The sequence below is a fragment of the Homo sapiens genome, chromosome 6 (genome assembly GCF_000001405.40).
Source record: "Homo sapiens chromosome 6, GRCh38.p14 Primary Assembly".
NCBI classification, from domain to species: domain Eukaryota; kingdom Metazoa; phylum Chordata; class Mammalia; order Primates; family Hominidae; genus Homo; species Homo sapiens.
Genome location: NC_000006.12, coordinates 4,939,264 through 4,963,041, shown reverse-complemented (window position 1 = coordinate 4,963,041; position 23,778 = coordinate 4,939,264). Strand labels below are relative to the sequence as shown.

The window sequence follows — 23,778 nt, the reverse complement described above, 5'->3', positions numbered from 1 at the left end:
AATCACCAAGAAGTTCCTGCTGGGGATAATGAGTGTCAGGCACCAAGCTTGCATCAGGAGTGATGGCACACATTCCAAATGAATTGCATTCCTGAGTTGAAGACAGTGAGTAGCAAAAGTTTATATACCAAGGCTTTGTCTAAAAACTTACCTAATTTTATTTCACCCAGGAGCTTGACAGTGACAGCGTGGCTAGCAAAAATACCTATAATAACATACATATGACAAGTCTACAAATTGCTTCTAAAATTCAAGGGGCAAGAAATGTCACATTTACTTATTGTCATAGAAAGAGAAAGCCCAGGCTGGGCGTGGTGGCTCATGCCTGTAATCCCAGCACTTTGGGAGGCCGAGGCGGGTGGATCACGAGATCAGGAGATCGAGACCATCCTGGCTAACACGGTGAAACCCCGTCTCTACTAAAAATACAAAAAATTAGCTGGGCGTGGTGGTGGGCGCCTGTAGTCCTAACTGCTCAGGAGGCTGAGGCAGGAGAATGGCATGAACCCGGGAGGCAGAGCTTGTAGTGAGCCGAGATCGCGCCACTGCACTCCAGCCTGGGTGACAGAGCGAGACTCTGTCTCAAAAAAAAAAAAAAAAAAAGAAAGAAAGACAGAGAAAGGCCAAGAGCCCACGACACACCATTACCCTGGGGTCTATAGAGCGCAAAGGATGAAAAAGGAGAGAATGCTGTTCTTGGGTGTGGTTTGGTTGCTATGAAATCTCTGTTCCAGCCCTTACTGGGGGGGGTGACCTTACGTAAATTATATAACCTCTTTTGGTCTCAGAGTTCTCATTTGAAAAATAGGGCTGATTGTAATTCTCATCTAAGACAGTAATAAATATTCATCACCATCATTGCTACATGTTCTCTTAAAGAGTTGCACAGTATGGGCATAAGATCATTTGTACATCCAATCCCACATAAAGGGACATTTAAATGCAGAGAATAGACTATTTTAGCAAGCTGTTACAGGACGTGAAGATGAAAATTTTGTCTGAGACCCCATCTATATCAATGTCTGTTTGTATTTATCTCTATCTATCTATCTATCTATCTATCTATCTATCTATCTATCTATCTGTATATTTATCAAAAGTGAGCTGTGAGAATGACCACCCTGGTTGTATTAGTCGTCTACTGTTGAATAGCAAATTACCCCCAAACTCACACTTTCTGGAACAAAAAATCCAGATGTAGCTTAGCCAGATCCTCTGTCTAGAGGTCTCTCCAGGGCTGCGGTTTAAAGGGTGAACCAGGCTGGACTGGGAAAGGATTCTCTCTCAAGCCCGCTCCTGTGGGCACTGGCAGGACTCAGCTCCTCACTTGATGTTGGTGGGAGGTCGCCCTCGGTCCCTTGGCTCATGGGCCTGTCCTATGGGTACTTCCCAGCATGGCAGCTGGACTCTCCCATAGTAAGCCAGCCAGAGGAGGCAAAAAGAGAACATGTGTGCACCAGCCACAAGTCACAGTCTTTTACAGCCAGATTTCAGAAGTGACTGCTTTTGCCATGTTCTGTTTGTTAGAAGCGAGTCACCAGGTCTAGCCGTACATCATACACAGATGTGAAGAGCAAGAGGTCGGGATCACTGGGAGCCAGTTTAGAAGCTGCTGAACGCACTTCCTTCTCCTTCTCTCCTCCTCCTTCTCCTTCTCCTCCTTCTCCTCCTTCTCCTCCTCCTCCTCCTTCTCCTTCTCCTCCTTCTCCTCCCTTCTTGTTCTTCCTTTTCTTCTTCTTCTCTGAGGATAAGTAACAAGGTACACGCAAATTTAGAACTATATATCTTTCAATAGAACTTAGTCTGCTGTCATTATGAAAAACTTTTTCCTACCATGCTTTTTGCTTTAATAGATATTTTGATATTAGCATAGCTACACCAGTTTTTGTTTGGTTATTGTTTGCACAGTATATATTTTCTACCTTTTTACGTTCAACTTTTCAGTTTCCGATGCGTTTTCTTTTCTTGTCAACAGCATATATGTATATCTAGGTCAATATATTTTGAATACAGCCTGAAAATATTTAGCTTTCACACAAGAATTTAGTCTATTTTTATTTAATGTGTTTGTTAATATTTTGAGATAAAATATACCATATTTTCTATGTGCTATTATTTGTCCTGCCAGTCTATGTTGCTTTTTCACATCTTTCTTGCACATTTCGGATCAGTTAAGTATTTTTCCATAGTCTCCTTATGTTAGTTTAGAGGATTATATATATAATATACACACACGTTCAAAAAATTGAGACATAATTGAAACAACATAAAATTAACCATTTTAAGAGGCAAACAATTCAATTTTTAAAGGATATTTACAAGGTTGTGTGAACATTACCATTATTTAATTCCAGAACATTTTCATACCCCCCAAATAAAAACCTGTACCTGCCGCTCCCCACTCCGGTTGCCCCATGTCACCCCCTGTCCCTGGAAACCACGAATCTATTTTCTGTTTCTATGGATTTACCAATCCTTGGCATTTTATATAAATGGAATCATACAATATGTGGCCTTTTGCATCTGGCTTCTTTCACTTAGCGTAATGTTTTCAAGGTTCAACCACACTGTAGCATGTATCAATACCTCATTCATTCATCTGTATTGCCAGATAACATTCCATTGGATATGCCAATTCATTGTTTATCCTTTCTCCAGTTGGTGAATATTTGGTGGCTATTATGAATAATGCTGCTATGAACATTCACATACAAGTATTTGAGTACCTATCTTTAATTCTCTTGGATATATACTAGACGTAGAATTGCAAGGCTTAAGAGTTCCTTAAGAAGTTTAACTTCATCCTTATGCCAGTTTGAGGAACTATCAAGCAGTTTTCTACTGTGGCTGTACCAGTTGACATTTTCACCAGCAAATGTGTGAGGATTTCAATTTTTTCACATGTTCATCAACATTTGTTATTGTTATTATAACTGAACGTATTAGTTCAGTTTTTGGTATTTTCTTGTTATAGTCATTCTAGTGGGATAAAGTGATGTCTTACTGTAGTTTGATTTGCATTTCCATAGTGGCTGACATTGAGCATCTTTTTTTTTTTTTTTTTTTTTTTGTGACAGGGTCTTGCCCTGTCACCCAGGCTAGAGTGCAGTGGCACATTTGCAGTTCACCACAACCTACTTGGTAATGGTGTACATATAAGTTTTATATGTTGTCAGATTACTTCATTGAGAATATCTGCATTTGTATTAATAAGGAATGTTAACATAAATATATAGTCTATATGGTCTATAGTTTCCTTGTGATGTCTTTGTCTGGTTTTGGTATTAGGGCAACACTAGCCTTATAGAGGTAAGGAAGCATTCACTCCTCTTATTTTGTGGAAGAGTTTGTGAAGGATTGGCATTGATTCCTTTTTAAACATTTGACAGAATTTATGAGTGAAGCCATCTAGTGCTGGGCTTTTCTTCGTAGAAAGTTTTTTGACAGCAGATTCAATCTTTTTGTCTATTTTAGTTTTTTCTTTCTTCTTGAGTCAATTTCAAGTTTGTGTCTTTCTAGGAATTTGTCCATTTCATTTAGCTAATCTAATTTGTTGGGATACGATTCCTCAGCACTCTCTTATAGTTCTTTTTATTTCTCTAAGGTTGGTAGTAGTGTCCCCCCTTTTCATTTCTGATTTCGGTGATTTGAATAGTCTCTTATGTCCTTGGTCAGTCTAACTAAAATTTGTCAATTTTGTTGATCTTTTCAAAGAAATGACTTTAGGTTTCATAGATTTTTCTCTACTGTTTTTCTGTACTTCATTTTACTTACTCCTGCCCTAATCTTCATTTCTTTCCTTCTACTTGCTATGGGTTTAGTTTGCGGTTCTTTATTTCTAGTTTCTTAAGGTAGAAGATTAGGTTATTGATTTGGCATCTACTTTTCTCATATAGATGTTTTATTATATAATTTATTACATAAATTTGGTTATGTTGTGTCTTCATCTTCATTCATCTCAAAGTATTTTCTAATTTCTCTTGTGGTTTCTTGTTTGACCCATTTGTTATTTAGGAATGTGGTTTAATTTCCGCATATTTTTGAATTCTCCACATTTCTTTGTTATTGATATCTCATTGCATTCCATTGAGGCTGGAGGACATACTTTGTATGATTTTAATCATTTTAAACTTTTAAGACTTGTTTTATTGCCTAACATATGGTCTATCCTCGAGAATGTCCCAGGTGCACTTGAGAAGCATATGCCCTCTGCTGTTATTGGATGAAGGGTTGTATAGGTGTGTTACGTCTAGGTGGTTTAAAATGTTGTTCCAGTCTTCTATTTCCTTGTTGATCCTCTGTCTAGTTGTCCTATGCAGTGTGTTTCATACAGGTGATAGACATATATATGTATATAATTTACCCAGTTTTAGTATATAAAATTTAAGAAAATAAGAATTAATGTTAAATACATTAGATCTTAGCTTTTATTCTAATACCTGTATTAAACCATTTATTAGCCATTTAAGTGCTTGTGACTCTAAAGGTCATAAAACAGATTTTAAATTTTGAAATGCTAGTCTCTTATCTTGCCAAAAAAGTAAGTTTTAAACCAGGGTTGAAATCATTCAATGTCATTTTCACCAAAGCAGACATTCGTTTGCTTCTTCAGACAGACATGCTGTCAGAACGTTCCCTAGGGAAGAGGGAGAGGATTCCTGTGATAGGAGAGGATTCCCCTGTTGCCAAATAGTGAAGGTATTTATTTTTAAATGCTAGTTAGTATTGAGAGAGCTCGGTGGGCTGGTCCAGCTCTTACAGATGCAGAAAGCTTGTAGACCATCAGAATTCCCTGGTAAGTTTAGCGTTGACTTGAAAATAGCCTAAATCCAGAGCCACTGGGCAGGCTGGAACCACCCGTTCTGCCATGCTGCCCCACCACTCTCACTTGCAGAGAATCACAGGCCCATGGGATGCCAGGATGGGCTGGACACCACAGGCCATTGGTCCCCTCCTTGCCTTCCCACTTAAGGGAAGAGTGCATAGAGCAGTGGAGTGTAGCCCTCTCTTCCCAGGTGCTAGGTCACCAACAGGCTGTGTGATGGTGGGCAAGTGGCCTGACCCTTCTGGGCCTCAGTTTCTTCACATGTAAAGTTAAACTGGTGCACGAAACATCGGAGATCTCCTCTCCTCCTTAGTTCTGGGCTGTACTCCAGGGTCTCATATTCCCAGTTATCTGTGCTTTCACCTGCCCGAGTCTCTCCCTTCCTCTAGAGGGCGGGACTCCCTGGCATGTCCTGGAGTCCATTTGAAAAGTTTCGGCTTAGAAACAGCTTCTCACACTTGGTGGGGCACGAACCTGGGGCTGTTGTCGGAAAAGCCTCAGAAAGCTCCTGTCTGCATGCTAGGACAGGAAGGCCATGCACTGGGGAAAGTTGGTTACAGGAGAGGTCAGCACAGAGAGGCCACCAGATGGCTCAGTGAGCGGACCTGGGAAAAGCAGAGACTGAGTTTCCCTAGGGCAATGACAGAATCCTGTGTCCCCAGGGTTTTTCCCTCTTAAGCTGTGTGTCACTATTTGGCAGGTGCCAATTCTCTTGCAACACACAGAAAATATATTTTCTTCTTTTAGAATATTTATAAATATTTATATTTACCTCTAGGGGAGAGAACTTGATTTTCTTTTGGAGAAGCTGTAACGCTTGTTCATACTAGTGTAAGAAGAAGTGTACCAGTGGGTTGGAGCCTCTGAGGAGCCCAATGAGAGGGAGTTGGCCATGAGGCTGGCCCTAGCCCCCTAGGCTCCTGCTGTGCCCAGAGACTGGGGGCACCCCTCACTCCCTCTTGACCAAATATGGGGCGAGAGAATGGGAGCAGCCCGTCTGAGGCCATCTACAGTCCCGTTTACGTAGTTGGCACACTTTTCCCTCCAAGATCGTCAGAGTTCTGGGTTCTTCTCATTTTCTGTAGCTGTCACTAGTATTGCTGGGGACATCACAAACTAAATCAGCCTGCCTAAAGACTATTTGAGACCTCTCATTTTATAGAGTGATGCTAGGACAGGAAGGCCACCAGCTGGGGAAAGTTGGTTACAGGAGAGGTCAGTACAGACAGGCCACCAGATGGGCTCAGTGAGTGGATCTGGGAAAAGCATATTAATGTGTATTACATTAATATTCTCTGCAAAATAATCTCAAAAAACTGAATGAGCAAACGGACATCAAGTGTTTCGAAGCGAGCCTGGTTTATGCTGCAGTGTTAAGTGCCATCATCACTGTTACCCTCATGGTCGAGGAAGCAAGGCTGCCTGGCTGTTGTGCCTGTCTCTGGCTCTCAGGGGTAACAGGCTCCCGACTTTGGCTTTGAGGGGCTGAGCAGTCTTAAGCCCAGGAGCTGGGAAGCTCTAGGGGAGAGAACTGGATATATACAAGATGTTTTTCATGCATATCCTTTAAAGTTTTTTAAAGCATACAATTTTCTTTAAACCTAAGATTTCATCAACATTCTTTTTCAATAAATGTGTATTCCACTGTGATGGTGTTGCACAATTATTTAACCAAAACCCTACTGAGGAACATGAATGCAGTTTCCAATGCTTCACTGTCAGGAACAATCCTGAGATGAACTTAACTGCGTACCTATCTTTATTGTTGTATTTCCTATGACCACTCATTCCTTAAGATGAATCCTTATTGATGGAGTTGCTGGGTCCAGGCTTTTTATATTTGACAGTTACTGTCAAATTCTCTTCAAAAGTTGGACCGAGACTTTCACCCACCTGAGCAGTCGCATTTCCCTTCCTCCTCACCCACGCAGGGCACAAAACAGAAGCACTTCACTGCTGTCGCCAGTGCTACTTCTAGTTGGGATCAATTCTTGTGCAAGAAGTTGGAAGGTGGAAGGTTTGCTTCAGAAAAAGGGGAGGTGGCTCACAAGGCCCAGAGGATTCAAAGTCTCGGATGATGCAGACAGACAACTTGGAGATTTTACTCAGTTCCCTATTTGTGAATTCTACAACACTGACATCTTGGTGTCTTTGCCAGAATATGTGCTTTGCCACATCGACCTTGGGTAAAAGCTTCATGCTACTCCTGTTCAAATTACCTACATGACGTTGGGCAAGTGTTTAATTCTTCAGGTTCCTCATCTGTAAAACAGGAGTGAAAACAGCCACGACAGGTTTGGGTAAAGAAGGAGTAAGTTACAACTCTACGTAAGAGAAAACTTAACAGTGAATGAAGTCAGTCAGTCACAGAAGCTTATTTGTGATATGATATAAAGGTTAAAAACATGTAGAACTAAAAGTAATTTATTTTAGGAATAAGTTCTTTGAAGGAGAAGTGGATGATGGACACAAAGTGAGGAAATGGTCACCCGGGTGAAGGTGACCAGGGAGGATACTGGTCAAATTGTTAGGTCCTACCTAGGTGTTAGTCACACAGGGTTTCATTCCATTGAACTGTACAGATGCTTTATACACACATGTATATCTCACACACACACGAAAGAGAAAACATCCCATGAGAAATCTCACAAGAATCAGAGAAACATTTCAAATGTGTTAAGAAATATTAGTTTTATTTAACCAGTTTTCACAGCTGAATATTTATTCTATAAAAACTTTACAGATTGTACAGTTTATATATAGTTCAAACTACTGAACGAAAAGGTAGGTCCCACAGATGCAAAAATACTGTACCAATCAATCCAAGATAAAGGCAGATTTACACACTGTACAGCTCTCCGCGTGGCCGGGGAGGTGGTCAGTTCTAAGTATAAACTTCAAAACTGTACAAAAATAAGAATTTGATTTCGCTCTTCATACATTCAATATGATTGCAAGCTCAGAAGCCTAACTAATAATAGGCATCTGGAGTCTGGAATCAGTACCCACTCCTGGAAGGAGTGCACATGTCTATCCACACAGGGCACTCTTGGACACCATACTGAACTCAGTATATTGTATAGACATAAAAGCAGAGGCCAAGAACATTAAATGTTGAATATAAGGTAGTTCTTTTTTGTTTTGAAAGGAGTTTTTGCATTTAATAGTGTGCCAAAAGAATTTTAACTTATTAAATAAAATATATTCTAAGTGAACCTAAAAATTACACTTTATAAACATAAAAATATTTTATTTTGGTGAAATACATCAATCATATCTGCAAACAGAAAACCAAAACTGTCTATAAAGTAGTATTTCTCACCCAGCAACAAGAAGCACTTATGTAGTTATTTTTCAGAAGGGTCAGAAAAACTATTTAAAACCCACTAAAGACTAACTTATAACTTAGATAGTCATACTTAAGCTATTCAGTGATTCACTAATACTGCAAAACAAGCTTTCTTCTAGAGACAGTGGTTTCTTCATGTTAACTGGGTAAGAACTGGACGTATTTTAAAAAGAAGGGGAAACCAATTGATATCTCAGCATGAATCCTAAGCATATGTCTGGTTTGGGGTATGCTCCTCAGCGGATTTTTCATCAGAAGTATTTATCCTAGAAGCTAAGTCTTTTGATTTTGAGTTTCCCGAATCTGAGGTATCTGTACCTTCTTGGAGAAAAAGCCAACGCCTCACATCACTCTGTGTCTCTACGTGGGGCAGGGAGGCGAGGCTGGCTAATACCCCTTTAGATTCTGTGTTCTAGAAGGAAGAAATGAGGAAAACAAACATTATTCCAGACTTTTCTGTCATCCAAAACCAATAAAACACAATTCTGTTTTTTATACAGTACTAGCCAAAGAAAACAAAAATTAGAGCTTCTAAGAGCAGTCTAGTGCTCACCTTTATACTTTTACACCTGCGTGTATATAAGTATAAAATAATGACGTTTGGACAAAGAAGCTTTGTAGTTATTTATTTTAAAGTTACAGTACTTTAAAACTCCTCGATAATAAATAGCGTGGATGTTCCCAGTCCTGCTTCCAAGCGTAAGCTACGGGTGAGCTTGTTTCAGGCTGTGAGAATGGATCAGGGGAACTGGAGCCGGTGATGTTCTCCTGCTCAGCCCGATCCCGGTGTCACCAGTGGGCAGCCCGACACTCAGAACTCATCGATCTTCCTCTGCAAGTACTTTAACATGGAGTCCATCCCCTGGGCCGAGCCCCAGATTTTCTTCAGCACCTCACACTCCCTCTCGTTGGCCTGCTCCAGCTCCATCTTCATGTTGCAGCGCACGAGGGCTTTGGATTCCTCAAGCACCTGCACCGGAAAACAAGCAGCCAGTTAGCAGGGTGCATGCGGGCAGACACGGGTCCCCTGTGCCTCCACATTTACGGAGGCAATCATCAAATTCCAGCAATCACCTGTTAAAAAGGTTACCAGACATTTTCTCACAATATGTCGGGCCTAACATATGTATAAAGCACATTTCACACTTGGCACTGGGTGCATTCTTAACTTCAAAACGGCTTATTTCAAAGGAGAGCTGGGCTGTCGGCACCCAGCCTGTGAGCAGCCTCGGCCCCGCGCCACTGCCGCATACTGGCGTGGACCCCCGAACTGGACGTCTGCTCTGCTGATGCCCAGAAAGCTCTGGGGATGCCTGTTGAGGGAATTTTTCTAAACAAAATGTAATTTTCATAATGAGGGTTGCTTGTCTGCCTGGGATGGGAGTCGTGTCAGTTAATATTATACATTTCACATCCTATAATTTGCCAAATGCAATTTTGTTACAAGCATATTTTAAAAAAAAATTATTTGTGGTTTTTTTTTTGACACAGGGTCTTGCTTTGTTGCCCAGGCTGGACAGCAGTGGCGGGATCTCCGCTCACTGCAATCTCCGCCTCCCGGGTTCAAGCGATTCTCTCACCTCAGCCTCTCGAGTAGTTGGGATTACAGGCGTGCACCACCAAGCCTGGCTAACTTTTGGATTTTTAGTACAGACGGGGTTTTGCCATGTTGGCCAGGCTGGTCTCCAACTCCTGACCTCAAGTGATCTGCCCTCCTCGGCCTCCCAAAGTGCTGGGATTATAGGCGTGAGCCACTGTGCCCGGCCTATTTAGCACATTTATTAAACAAAAACTTAGGAGGCCGGGCACAGTGGCTCATGCCTGTAATTCCAGCACTTTGGGAGGCTGAGGTGGGTGGATCAACTTGAGGTCAGGAGTTCGAGACCAGCCTGGCCAACGTGGTGAGACTCCGTGTCTACTGAAAATACAAAAATAACCCAGGCATGGTGGCGCATGCCTGTAGTCCCAGCTACTCGGGAGGCTGAAGCACAAGCATCACTTGAACCCGGGAGGTTGAGGTTGCAGTGAGCCAAGATTCCACCACTGCACTCAAGCCTGAGCGACAGAGTGAGACTCCATCTCACAAACAACAACAACCCAAAAACAACTTAGGCCCACTGTGGGGAAACAGGGGAGAAGCTAATAATGTGACTGAAAGGCTTTGGAACCAGTAAAGAATTATATCCATGTTAGTTGTTGTTGACTTTCATAGGACATTTGCTAACTTGCTGACATTTCAGACTGAAGTCCATTTCTGTGGTTCCTGGGTATTTGCAAAGGGAAGGCAAGGCGTGCGTGGGGGCAGTGGCGGCAATAGGTTCTGGCAGGACTTCACGGGAAGGTGCTCTGTTGAGGACAAACGTAAAGGACTTAGGAATAATTGCAAATTTGTGAGCTCTCTGAGGGAAAAGTTTCTATTTTTTAAAAAGTAACGTGTAACAGAAGCAATTAGACATACAACTGGATTGCACGAGGCAAGCTCCTTAATGCGAACCATCACTTCCTGAGTGAACGTCCCGGGCCAAAACACCTGGGAGACCAGGCCCTTGCCACACGCCTCCTGCGCTGTCAGCTTCCGTCCACTGAGCAGCATCTCGTTTGCCTGCAAGGAAGAAGAGTGGATGTAATATGAATTGCGGTGGGAGGCGGGCGGGGAAGACCCATCCCTTAAAATCCACACCGAAGGGAAACATTCACAAATACCAGCCCCGCAGGGAAATGGGGCACATCCTCTAGGGGCCGCTGGGAACAGACCCTGTGCAAGGTGCAGTCCATTGGGCAGGTGGGAAAGTAATCTATCGGGCTGATGATTTTTTTCTTAAAAAGGAAAGCAAAAAGTGTCTTATTTTACAACCTACTACAGAATTACAGGGACTCAATAAAGAAATCTAAAATAGAAAAGGTCTTTTTGCCATTCGTTTAAAAAGTTACTGGTATAGCTTCCTCTCCTCTCATCTGCCTTCCTCCCCCTAATGCCGGCCCTTCCCACGTGTGAGCTCTTTTAATACACAAAACAATCCTGGGAAAATCAGCATATGCAAAGTTAGGCAATTTATAATTTTAAGGATTTGAACCAGGCACAGAATTCCTACCAAACCTTTTCTTTATCTGGGAGGCCAATGGTGACTTGTTTTTAATATACAGAAAAAATATTCTAATGGCAGCGACCGTTTCTGCTAGAGCGTACCTTGGAGGCTGCCTTGTATCGCTTGGATACGAAAAGACAGAACTATCCAGGGCTTGAATGTGGCGAAAAATGACCGTAATCTGCTTGAGGGGCTGGCTACAGTCACCTCACACGGCTCAGTGGAGAAAGCTAACATTAGGTTTTCTTTAAAAGAATATATATGTGTATATATGAAATTAATTTTAACCTTGTCCTGGATTCTAGATCACTTTATTTTTTAATACATGACACTGAACTAGATCACTTTTAAGGTCTCAGTACAACATGTATGGATTTTACATCATTCAAATGACAGGCTCACAGATGCCGAGATAAGGCGGGAAGGGGTGCACACATGTCTGATAAAGAAACTCCACACTGGCCTGAGGGGACAATTTTTGGTCTGTCGTTTATCTTGCCCGGTTAACCTTCCTAACAACTCTGATGTCACAAAGCCTTGACTATGAGCTCCTGGGGCTCTGGTAAAACACAATTTCGGTAGGTGGCTTCCACTTCCAAAAGAGGCAAAATCACAAAAGACAGTTTTGGCCCTGAAGTCGCTGAGACAGTGTAAGACTGCCCATACACCTTCTGTCAATGTCTTGATGCCGTTTACTGCATGTGAAACCCGCAGCTTGGAGAGCACACAGGCAGAGGCGGCAAAGCAAACACGTGGCTGACTCACTGCCCCTCCCATGCAGGCAGAGGCTGGAAAACAGGGCTGGGGACAGGCTCCTCATGAGGGTTTGCAAGTTTTTTTTTTTTTTTTTGAGACGGAGTCTCCTTCTGTCGCCCAGGCTGGAGTGCAGTGGTGCAATATCGGCTCACTGCAAGCTCCGCCTCCCAGGCTCACACCATTCTCCTGCCTCAGCCTCGTGAGTAGCTGGGACTACAGGCGCCCGCCACCACGCCCGGCTAATTTTTTTTTGTATTTTTTGGTAGAGACGGGGTTTCACTGTGTTAGCCAGGATGGTCTCGATCTCCTGACCTCGTGATCCGCCCGCCTGGGCCTCCCAAAGTGCTGGGATTACCAACTTGGAGAAAGTCATGAGTTTTTGAAGAGTCTGGAGAAGTTCTAGAAACCCCTGAACTGACGAGCTTCTTCTCAGTGAAAAGACGGTCCATAAACAGTGGATTTAGAAACGCGACCCGACCTTACTGTGAGTGGTTCTGATAGTCCTTGTCACGGCAGATCCAAACGCAGCAGGAAAGGGAGTGGGACTCCCGGTGTGCTGCTGCCGCACGAAGTGCTCTGTGCTGTCGGGGTTTTCCTTTCATAGACTGTGCTTCTTTCATTCTCAGCATAGAGTGAGGACACTACAGCCACATCCCTGAAGTTGAGCATGAAGTATGTTCTCAGGACCAGCTTAGTGGAGCCTTAGCTTGGGCAGCGGAGGCAAGCGACCCCGCCAGGCCTGGTGTCTGCGGTTCAATCACAAAGGGCAGGTGTCCGCAGGCTTCCTCTCCCGCCCTTCCTGCAGGGCCCTGGCTGTCTGTCCCAGTCAATTCTTCCAACTTTATTTTCTGCCACCTGGAGGTCAACTTACAGCCCCACCACTGTTCTCTTCCCTGTCTCCCTTTCGTCCCCCCTTTGTTGACTCTCTTGGGCCTGATACCAGCCGAGAACGGCCCTTCTCTCTGCTCAGCACTCACTCATTGCGGCCGGTCTTCCTCCACAGCCCCGCCGGCTCCAGGCCTGCTCATCCCTGGAGATCCTTTCCCTACCTTCGGTGTTCTCCATTCCAGGTGGTTGGATGTGCAGGACAAGCAAGGGCATTTCTCAATTTACTCAAGAGCAAAAATGACAGGGCTCACGCTAGGTTGTTAAAGCTTTTTCACTTAAACACGGCCAGTGAGTTGGTTTGAACGACAGTCACCCAAGAAAACAACAACAACAAATCTCCCTTGGTAAGATATGTATTATAGGATTAAATACACGCAATTTGCGTGAGCATATTCTTATATAAACACACTATTTTCAGTAGTTTCAAAATGAGAGGTTTCAAACTTCTACCCAAATAACCGATTCACACAGATGCAGGCGGTGGGAACCTGACCAGCTAGCACGTTGCTCTGAGATGGCTGAGTGCACAGGGACTCCCTGTAGACAACCTACATCACCCCATGATGTGGTCAAAGTTGTCCAACTATTAAAAGAAAGTTATCCTGGAACCATCCAGAGAGATGGGAAATGCCGAGGAAAGTTAAATAGAGATGTCTTTTTAGTTTGGCCAGAGTACAGCAGGACGGGTGGCGAGGAAACTGGCCCAGTATGAGCAGAGGGGATCCAGGAATCTTCAGCCTTATGGGGACTGCTGTGGCAGAGGTTTTACCACCTGCTCCCTCAGGCCAGTCTCTGAAGTCCCCAAGAGAGGGCTCTCAAGGTGTGAGCGTGGGGTAAGGCCCTCAGGTACTCGCTGGGCATTCTCCAGCTTCACACCCCAGCAGGCCCCTGAGAGGTGCAAGATTTCCACGTGGGAGCCTGTGGGCGTCAGACCGTGCCATCCTCCATGCACTCCATGAATGTCTACTGGGCACCAGGAAGGCTAAACTGGAAGAGACTCCTTGGCTGATTTACGTAGCCCTCGCCTACAGCGGAGGGCCTGCTGTAAGAAAGGAGAGGCCACACAGCCTGCACTATTTGCATATTCTTTTTATCTTGATAATGTGATTCCTTTAGCTTATCCTCCTGGCAGAGCTCTGCACATGCAAAGTGGGGAAAACCACACTTGTCCAGTCTTGCCTCAGGCTGCTGAAAGCTCAAGTACACCAAAGGCTCATGAAAGGAACGACATCATTTACATCATCTGCATAGTCACTTTCAACAAGAGTTGTCGAAGTCATCTGAACAACGTTTATTCACTTTCTGTAGAGAGGCTTCGTCAGATACTCTGCTCAGAAAGTGTAGAATTCACGCCGAGTGAAATGCAGGCTCTTCGCTCTTGAGTTAGAGCAGGGTTTCTCCCCCTGGACACTAGGGACATTCTGGGCTGGACTGTTGTTTGGTGTGGGGGCTGTCCTGTGGGGGCTACATGCAGGGTGCTAAGCAGGGCTGTCCCGTGGGCTATGGAGGGTGCCGAGCAGTACCCCAGCCTCTGCTAACGGCCATCTCCTCATGTGTGACAACCAAGTTGTCTCCAGACATTGTTCCCCAGGGGTGAGGTCGGGGGTGAAAACTGCCCAGTTGAAAGCAGCAGCTCAAGAGGCACCAGTACATCTCCAGGGGAAGCGTAAAGTAAAGATCTGCCAAGGCTTGTAGAGTAGGGAGAAACACGGCTGACCAGAGGGCAGGCATTCGTCCTGTGATGACTTCAAGCCTCATGGCCCTTTCTGGGAATGGTGAACTCTGACACCTCTACCCCTGAGCAGCATTCAGCTCCAGGGCTCCACTTCCAAAATGTCTTTGGCCAAAATGTGTCTGAACATCAAGGTGGTTTAGTATTTGCCCCACATCTGCACCGACACCACACATCTACATAGATCATACAGTGGGAGGGGTCAGAACCTCAGATCTCAACCTCCTTTGGATAAATAACTCAAAATGAGATTCACGGGATGTTCCAGAGGATGAGGATTCTTTCCTGCCGGGACAGGGTTAACTGGCAGGACACAGTCTCGTTTACAGTAATCACTACGATGAACTGATTTTACTGATAATGACTCTACCATGGGAGTCTGGTGGTGTCAGGTGCGTGCAGTACGGTGTAAAGGACAAAGCAAATGACTTGGATAAGCCACCCACGTCCCCACCCCAGCAAACTGCCTGCTGTGGGAAGTGCTGTCAGCAGGCAACAGAGAGCTCAGGGCCTCCCCCATGGACCGCTCTTCCCAGGGCCGCCAACCCCACGGCCAACTGCAGTGGGGCACCGGGAACCGCCGTGAGGCCACGTGGTTCCAGAGCTCCCTGTCAGTCAGCTCTGCCCAATCCTGCTTCCTTTCTGCCCTTCCATGGACGCTGGCACCTAATCTACCAGACCCTGCTTCCCAAATCTATCTTAGCTTCCAGAGAAACCACCTTGTGACGAGGGGAGTGGACAGACCGAGGGTGAAGAGAGAGGTTTAGAAACTGCACGGCTCCCCAGCTGGCAATGAGGGACCACCCCCCAACAGGCCAGGTGGAGAAGCCACAGTACCTGGCACAGGCAGCCGTCCACGTGCTAACACTCTCACAGGTGAGGGGCAGGGACATGGGTGCAAGCAGAGGGGCAGCCGGGAGCAAGAGGCAGAGAGGGCTGAGACTTGGCCTTAGCCCCTGGACTTGTCAGCAAGAGTGGACAAGCTCCACCCAGGTTAATCAGCCACTGGAGGAGGGTCTGTCAGCTTGTGAGGGGTGGGGAGGTACCCTAGAACTTGGTATAGGCGCTTCTGGGTGAATGCCCCCAACTTTGAAGTCCAGCTTCCTCTGATCCCGAGCCTACGGACATGGCCCACCCATCCCTATCAGAACACGTAAGCCCCCCTTGCTAGAAGATAAGGCAAATATCTCTCAGCAAGGCAACACTGCCCCCCAAAACCTGCCCCATCCCCTCTCCTGGCGTCAGGCCTGTAACTCGCCTCTTCCCTGAAACGGGCTGCACGACCCAGCCAAGGGTGCAGGTGGGAGCTGTGAGAAAACACGAGGGCCTGGATTCTCAGGGCGCCTGACCTGGGGCCCAACCACAAGCTGGACAGGAGATTCACTGACGTGGGGGCTCTCCTGCGATACTGATTTGGCCCTGCTAGGTTCCCAGGAGATGGTCTGACCTGGCTGCTGGGATGGCTACTGGAAGCACGAGGGAGGTGGGGGCCCTGCTGAGTGAGGCTGAAAGGCCAGGGCTGAGTAGGGAGGGGTGGGACAAGATGCATATGGAGCCTGTGGTCAGTGCCAGAGGGAGGAGGGCAGCACAGCCGGTGGGGCCATCCACAGCAGGGAAGGGCATGCCTGGAGTGCTGGCTGGGACTGGGAGAGGCAAAGCGCCCGACCACGGGACCCCACATGACCACATGTGGGGAGTGACCACCACGAGCTGAGTTCCATCAGCCCCACAGGCGCAAGGTCAGGCAGGGCCCGCGGCAGATGCACAGCTGGGCTTGGCAAGCTCCAGAGGGCATGGGCCGGCAGCCTAGACCCCTGCGTCACCCCCAGACCCTTGAGTACCTGCGCCCTGCCTCAGCTCATACCTACAGCCATGGGGGGACTCCCTGTGACCGAGTGTGGCCTGTGGGTGGGTTGGCTCACTGGGTGGATGGGCAAGCCAAAAAGGGGACAGCAACTTCACCAGAGCCTCATCCAGCAGGCCTCAAAGAGAATGTGGTGAGGAAAATGCCCCCACTGGGGGCAGATGCACCTGGTCACCCCCTGGTGTAGAAAAAAAAGTGGATCAAGGTTAGAATAACACTAGCTGCCAGCAGGGGTGGGTGTCCTGGACAGAGGCGTGTGGTGGGTGGAGGAATGGGAAGCGTGCAGGTTGCTGTCTCACATTAATGTCCACCTGAGAGCATCCGCCATGGAGGGGGCACTGAACAGCTTTGAGAGATGGCTGGTGGTCGCTGGCCACCCAGGGCTGGCCAGAGGGGCCTCAACAGCACAGTCTCTGACTTACCAAAGGCTGATGCAGTCGCTGTTGCTACTGAGTGTCCAGCCTGCCAGCAGGAGATGCCAATGTGATCGGCCCACAAGACACCATTCCCAGGGAGGCCCGCCTGTGGGCGCTGGGCAGCACGCTGACGGCTCCAACAGGCATGGGCATATCCTCTGGGTCTGAGTCTGCCTGTCCCACCTGCAGATCCTCAGGCAGCATCACTCTCTGTGGCTATGGAAGGTCTAGTCCACCAGCATGGGGTGCCTCAGGGTGGTGCGTTGTGACCAGAACACCAGCCTCACAGCAAAGACCATGTCAGGGGACAGGACCCGAGAGTCCTGTGGCTAAGTCACATATAGCACCTGCCACAGCCGCCAGCCTGGTAGGGCGTCGGCACGGCCTGAGAGGTGCCAGTTTGGAGGTGGCTCCATGATGGTGGGCAGCAGCGTTTTCTGATTTGTAGCACATACAGTACAAAGACCTCTATCTGGAAGGACACGTGGCCTGGGAAATGGGATGCAGGCCGGTGCTGCTTGTTCCTCTCCTGATCAACTATAGCAGTTAAGTGGACAAGTGCAGCAACTCTGAGCTGGGCACAGTGAGCAGGCCACAGATCCCTTGGGGGTGAGTGTTTTAGCATTTGGGCGGCTGCTGAAGCCAGCAGAGGTGGGAGCTATGGGTGAGGGGAACTACCCTGGGGTGTGAGAAGGTGAGGAGCAGGGCAGCTCTGAGACCAGTGCGGCACTGGGGGACACAGTCTGGCCTAGTCACCTTCCTCCTCCTCTCTTGTATTCCTTTATTTTAAACGTTCTGGTTTTCAAGTACGTTTAGATGCAGGAAGATGATAAAAGTAGTACAGAGTTCCCATAAACCTTCAGGCAGCTCTCCCTAGGTTAAAAAATGTCACATAACATCTTAAGATGACCAAAGCCACTGACAATGTGCTAGTCACTCAACTACAAACATGATGTGAATTTCACCAGCCTTCCCACTCTTGTCCTTTCTCTGGCCCAGGAGCCCATCCTGGGTCCCTGATGTTCTGAGCTGTCGTGTCCCCTTGGTCTCCTCCAGTCTGAGACGGTTCCTCAGTCTTTCCACGTCTTCTCCGACCTTGGCGCTTTGGTGGAGCACTGCGGGTGTCTGCAGACTGCCCCCCAGTCTGGGCCTGACGTTCCTCATGATGAGACTGAGCTGCTGCACCTTCAGGAGAAATCCCACGCAGCGACGAAGGCTGTGTTCCCCTCAGTGCTTCATGTTGGCTTTTGTCTTATTTCTGTGAACTCTGACCACTCGGCAAGGTGGTAGCTGCCAGGTTTCTTTACTGTAAAGTTACTATTTTTCCCACTGCAAATAATGAGAGGATCCAAATATCCTTTTTCTCATCACACTTTTACCCACTGATTATAACATCCAGGTTAAACATTTCAGGTTCTGGCCTGCAAGTTATTGCTGCCTAATCTTCTTCCTCTAAGTTTCTCCCAGAAAGAAAGCCCCTTGGAACCTGAAGGAGCTGGCCCCCAAAAGGTGCATCAATGATCTGAATGGCCCTGGGGTGAACTGTGGTGGACATGGAACTGTGCTGCCATGATCGCTCCTGGGGAGGCCTGGCTGCCTGGCTGCGGGTGCTGCTGTTAGCAGACGGCCACAGGGCGCCTTTAGGGATGCCCTCAGCTGTAGGGAGCCACCTCGTCCAGGGTGCAACGCTTCCCGCACATCCCACCCCTAAGGATGATGGGCATAGTATCACTTTGACCTCTTCCTCTGTGCGGTCCTGCTTCCTTCCCATCCCTTCCACAGGTACTGACTACCTGCTAATTCTCCACGTGCCAAACTCATCTCAGTGTCTGCTTCTGGAGAACCTGACCTGTGACACCACCTCCTGCCCTATTTCAAGGACTAGAGAATGAGATGTGAATAACTGCTTGATAAATCACAAGCTACAATACAAACACAAACTACTATAATGAACGGATTAAACAGTTAAAGAAATAAAAACACACAATTATATGGACGACAACCCTCTAATCCTATGTAACTTTGCTCCCTCTTAAAATTGCCTTCTCTTAAAAGTGCAGTTTTTAAGTTATTAGGTGAAGAACTTTTCAATTGCAAATTGTTGGTTGGGTTACTGATTGGGTATTTACTAACAGTAGATATCCATGTGAATTATGCAAAGTGGTAGGCTCCTCAGTGAATGAAGTCCTTCTCTAGGGAATGATGCAACAAAGGTCAACAACGTCTATGAACCCAAATCTGAATTACAAGATGGAAAGTCCCCACAGAATGACACACTGTACAGCTTTAGAAAAACAATAACCAAACTAGATTTCTTCAGGAAGCTTTCTAGAATGACTTTTTTTTTTTTTTTTTAAAAAGGTACTCACAGATGCTCCTCCCATTATCTTGGGAAACATAACGGTAGAACAGCCATCTGGACTCTGTCCGAAGGTGGTATAGGGTGTTTGAAACCAAGCCTTTTCATTAGCCCAAACCACATCGCAAAGAGGCAATATAGATGCTCCTAGACCAATGGCTGGGCCATTGACTGCTACAATAATGGGCTTCTTAAATTGAATGAAAGTATTCACGAAGTTTCTAAAATGAAAAATAAATGGGGAATTACTCAAAACATTGCATATTTGAGCAAAGGAAAAGTCTATTATGGAATTCAATTTACCAAGATGTAAATGCTACGGAAATCCTGAAGACTTGAGATTTGTTTAAGGCCTTCCCCAGCAGTTGTGGACCCTAGACTTATTTACTACGTGTTGTAAAGGTTTGGTGACAGCCTGGAGCCCACGCATGTAGTGGCTGTCACTACAGGCCCTACGTGAAGGCCACAGGGTAACATGCAGCCATGAGCTGCACTGGAATTTGCAGGTGGCTCTCGGGCTCTATAAACAACACATCTTGCTCCCCAACCTGTCTTCCCTCGAAGACACAGGAGCCCAGTACATATTCTGGGCTTCACAAGACAAATCAAGAAGCTGTCACAGAGGAAATCTGGCCCAGGGCATACTAAGACTGCCTGGTGTTAAGTGTACGGTGGTGGATTAGGGTTCACAAAAACCCTGGGATCTGGGTCTGGCCTTGGTTCATGATTTCAGACAGCTCACTGATTATCTGGCAATAATTGCTATTTCCTGAGTTTATGTGGAAGTGGACTGAACAGTCTGGGGGATACAGAGACAAGAGTGTCACAGGCTGGCTCAAGACATGCGACCTGCAAACAAGAAGAGCAAACAGCACAGGGCTCAGGCCTGTACCCACATCCTGCTCCACTGAGGGCTGGAGGGTACGGCTGCAGCAGGAGTTCGGAGGACAGTGGGGTCAGGCGTGGGGCAGCCTCTGCACAGGACAGAGGTTTAATAAATCAAGCCCATGCTATTTTGGGATTTGCTTTAGATCAGGCTGGAAAAGTAGGCTGCTTTTCAATGTAGGGTAGCTTGGTGTCATACCACTTTAGGAATGTGCATTTTCTTCCCCTAAATACTAGAAGCTGATCTTATGCTCAGAGGTTGTTTCTTGTTATGATTTCACACAGTGGAGAAAAGAAGAAACACAAGATAGTCCCTTCAGTGCAGGCTGAGTTCTAGATCAGAAGTGCAGAGTAAGGACAGCTTTTCACTTGCTGGATTCTAAACCTGACCCCCATCTTTAATACTGAAAATAACAATCTAGATGCTCTCTACAATTCAGCAATTTAAAACCACAGCAATCTGTTCAGATCTTCTCTGAAAATCATGACTCAGCATCTGAGATAGCTCCCCACTCAACTCCCCGAGACACTGACGGATGACTCATATTTTTTGGCAGGGGCAGGTCAGGGAGGTGAGGAGGGTTGTGTCTGTGTGTGTATGAACAGGAGAGTGAGGAATTGCAGAGTTTAGCGGCTGGACCTCAGCCTAGCCCCCAAGGTTTGTGGGATCTTTGCATTGAGCAAGAATTAACTCATTCAAATGAATGAGTTGCACTAAGTCTTTCTAAATGAGAGAGCCTGAGGCATTCTTAGAAAGATCACACTGGGGTTTAATGATCAGAGTGTCAGACAACCTTTTAAGCAGACTCTTGAAATAAGCCTAGAAGAACTACATGAAGCTATTTCAGTTGTGTCATCTTTTGAAGATATGGGGTCAATGACACAAGATGGAAATACATTTCCTAGGCCCAGTAACTGATGACTCATGAAAAGGTAAAACTGCTGAACTGTCTCTCAATGATAAGGAACAGCTGTTTCCAAAATCTGAGTAGCTCCAATTTCATCTGCCTTATGGAACAGAAGGCAAACTGTTATAGCCGTTGCCCAGGCTGACATCTGGAAACCACGGATGGGGCAATAAATTAACATAAAAGCGATGATCAAAGTCAAGGTAATAAGAAGGTAATTCTACAGAAAAACAGTAAAAGGAATTATTTCATATATCCTTGCCTCCATGCCCATATATTTGTATAAAAAAATCTGCTTCTAAAATATTAATAGATATTGGTAAGTCGAAACTTAGATTTTGATAGGCTGAAGGCATTTTTTGGAACTGAAATTTTATTTTTACTTTTGCCTGGAATGGTGACTTCACCTGAAGCTGGTGGCTCTTTCTGGACGGGGTATGAATGAACCAGCATGCTCTGGAGCAAAGAGCCCCTTCCCTTTTCAGGGAATGGGAACTGGCCATTCTGAATAGTGAGCCCTGAGATGCCAGAAATGGATGTGGTGCACACAGAGACTCGTTTTGTTTTAAAAAAGAAAACCTTTACAGAAATGCTTTCTCTGCCTAGTAGAAACTTCCCAGGACCATAAAGGCTTAACCAAGGGAGCTGCAAATCAAGGCACAAGGAACCAGAGGCGAGGCAGGGGCTGCCTTCAAGCCTGGGACGGTCCTCTCCCAAGTAGCCCCTGCTTCTGTGGGCTTCAGCCAAGTGTGTTTTAAACTTGAAATCAAAATGTATGAACACTCAAATGTTTGCCATGCAATGTACTGAAGTTAAATTTGTTTCTTTGGAATTGAATTCAAGGCTGTTGTTGGGTATGGCAGGGAAGGAGGCTGATATTTGCCACATAATTAGTCTAAAAAGACTTTATAATTAAACAAAACTCTTCCTTTAAAGGACATTTACTAATCTGGAAATATCAAACAGCTGGAAAATCACATAAGATGTAGGGACTGTCAAAGGAACGTTTGGGGAGAAGGAGGCAGCAGGGACCTGAAGTTGGGCAGCCAGTGTGCTGCTTTCCATGGCTGAGGTCTCTCTCATTTGAATGGCACCTTCGTTTGAAGGACTAATGGGGTACAGGTCAGGGTCATGGGGCATGTTTACTGGCTCACTTTGTTCTCTCCCAAATCCTCTTGCCCCTGGGGCACTGCTTGGGCAGGGCCCCCGGTCTCCCTCTGTGGGAGGAAGAAGAAACCTCACTTTTGGGGAGAGAAGTCTCCTGGTCCTTAAAACCCAGTGGCAGCTACTGGTTCTGGCAGACTTCAAAAGCCTAATGCTGTCCATGAACTTGAAAGAATTTTGTTCTAACCACAAAGGTGCAGAATATTTTTGTTGCAATTACCCTGCAAACTGCAAACCACGAATCCTCGTCACAAAGTCAGCTGCTCTAGATACCTGGTGACCTAATATGAAACCTCATCTTCCTGTTTGCTTCCCGCTTTTCCTTTGGAAACTTGCTACGATGAAGTCCTTTGCCTCCAAGTTTTAAGGAACATGAGACAAGACACCAGAGAAATGAAAAATATACACAGGAAGAGCTTTTATCCACATAAAAATTAATTTAAATGCAAATAAGAAAAGGAAAGGTTAAGTGACTCTGGTGTAACTAATTATTTTTCTGATCTTGCCAGACTACATTAAGGAAAATTCACATTGACAAAAATATAGTCACATAAAGAAGAAACAAGTTGGTTTTCCTAAAGCAGGACTTGGCTCTTCACAAGAATATCAATCCAGCTTTTTGTGTGGAGTAGGGAGAGTGGACGGAGCAGGGAGCTGATGAAAGTGAACTTTTAAAGTGACATCAAGTTCAACAAAGGAGATCTCCACTTAAACCTGGCTGGATCTAGCTTTCCTCTGCTTTTACTGATCCCAGCGCCACAAGCCCACAGCCTCTGTCCAAGGGAATTCAACGCTGGAGGGAGGAGTGAGCTGCACCCGGCGAGGCACCAGCGGGCTCACAAGTGGAGCCAGGGAAAAGCCTACACGGGAAAACGGAGCCAGGACCCAGAAGGCACTGGCTGACACATCCGATTTTCTTATGACCGCAGAGCTACCAAAAAGCACAATATTATGTGTACATTCAGCGTGATATTATGGAGAACATGCAAAGTGACCATAGGAGGCATGGTGGTTTGTATTTTAAAAATAAAAGTTAAGTTCATGGAATTCACCCTGAATGGATAATAATGAAGCTGTCTTAGAGGCGCTGAGAGTCAGCCAAGGATTTATGACACTGATCAAGCAGTTTAATCTTAAACTGAAGAACAAGATGGTCCCACCTAGTGTACCACAGGGATGAAATCCCCTAGGAGATTAGAAACAATACTTAATAAGATCAGACTATAAAATTTCAAACCACTTCTGAAAAAAACCACACATAATGTGATAGCCTGTAAAAGGTAACATTCAAAAGATTAAGGGATAACCTCCTAAATACATGTGTACATCATATGAGAAAATATAGTAATTCTGAAAATGATTAAATATGTCATGAGAGGCTAAGGCAATCCCCTTCAACCCAGAGGTGTGGGTTCCAGGACTCCTGTGATGGGCTGTTTGGTGCCCATCAGAGCCATCTTGGGTGTCAGTCAAAGAAAGACGTCCCTGCCTACCCCAGACTCAACAAAACAGAAAAAAGAGCCCCCCTACCCACCACACCAATCCT

At 45.8% G+C, this 23,778-nt stretch overlaps 1 protein-coding gene across 8 annotated transcripts in view, besides 1 other annotated feature; it reads right to left on the bottom strand.

Moving 5' to 3' along the window:
• Positions 1-7,497: 7,497 nt before the first annotated feature.
• Positions 7,498-23,778, bottom strand: part of CDYL (chromodomain Y like) — a 249,407-nt gene continuing 233,126 nt past the window's right edge. For all 8 annotated transcript variants that reach the window (NM_001368125.1, NM_004824.4, NM_001368126.1 and 5 more), the window contains 3 exons: positions 19,286-19,496; positions 10,633-10,776; positions 7,498-9,144 (listed from right to left, as the gene is read on the bottom strand). In NM_001368125.1, coding sequence (NP_001355054.1) covers positions 8,986-9,144; positions 10,633-10,776; positions 19,286-19,496 — 514 coding nt within the window. In that variant the 3' untranslated portion in view covers positions 7,498-8,985. The remainder of the gene's footprint in view (positions 9,145-10,632; positions 10,777-19,285; positions 19,497-23,778) is intronic.
• Positions 15,360-16,103: an enhancer, noted in NCBI's record as "H3K27ac-H3K4me1 hESC enhancer chr6:4947173-4947916 (GRCh37/hg19 assembly coordinates)". NCBI's record gives its function as "activates a minimal SCP1, AML or CMV promoter by ChIP-STARR-seq in primed H9 embryonic stem cells {active_cell/tissue: H9 hESC(primed)}" and the evidence as "EXISTENCE:reporter gene assay evidence [ECO:0000049][PMID:30033119]".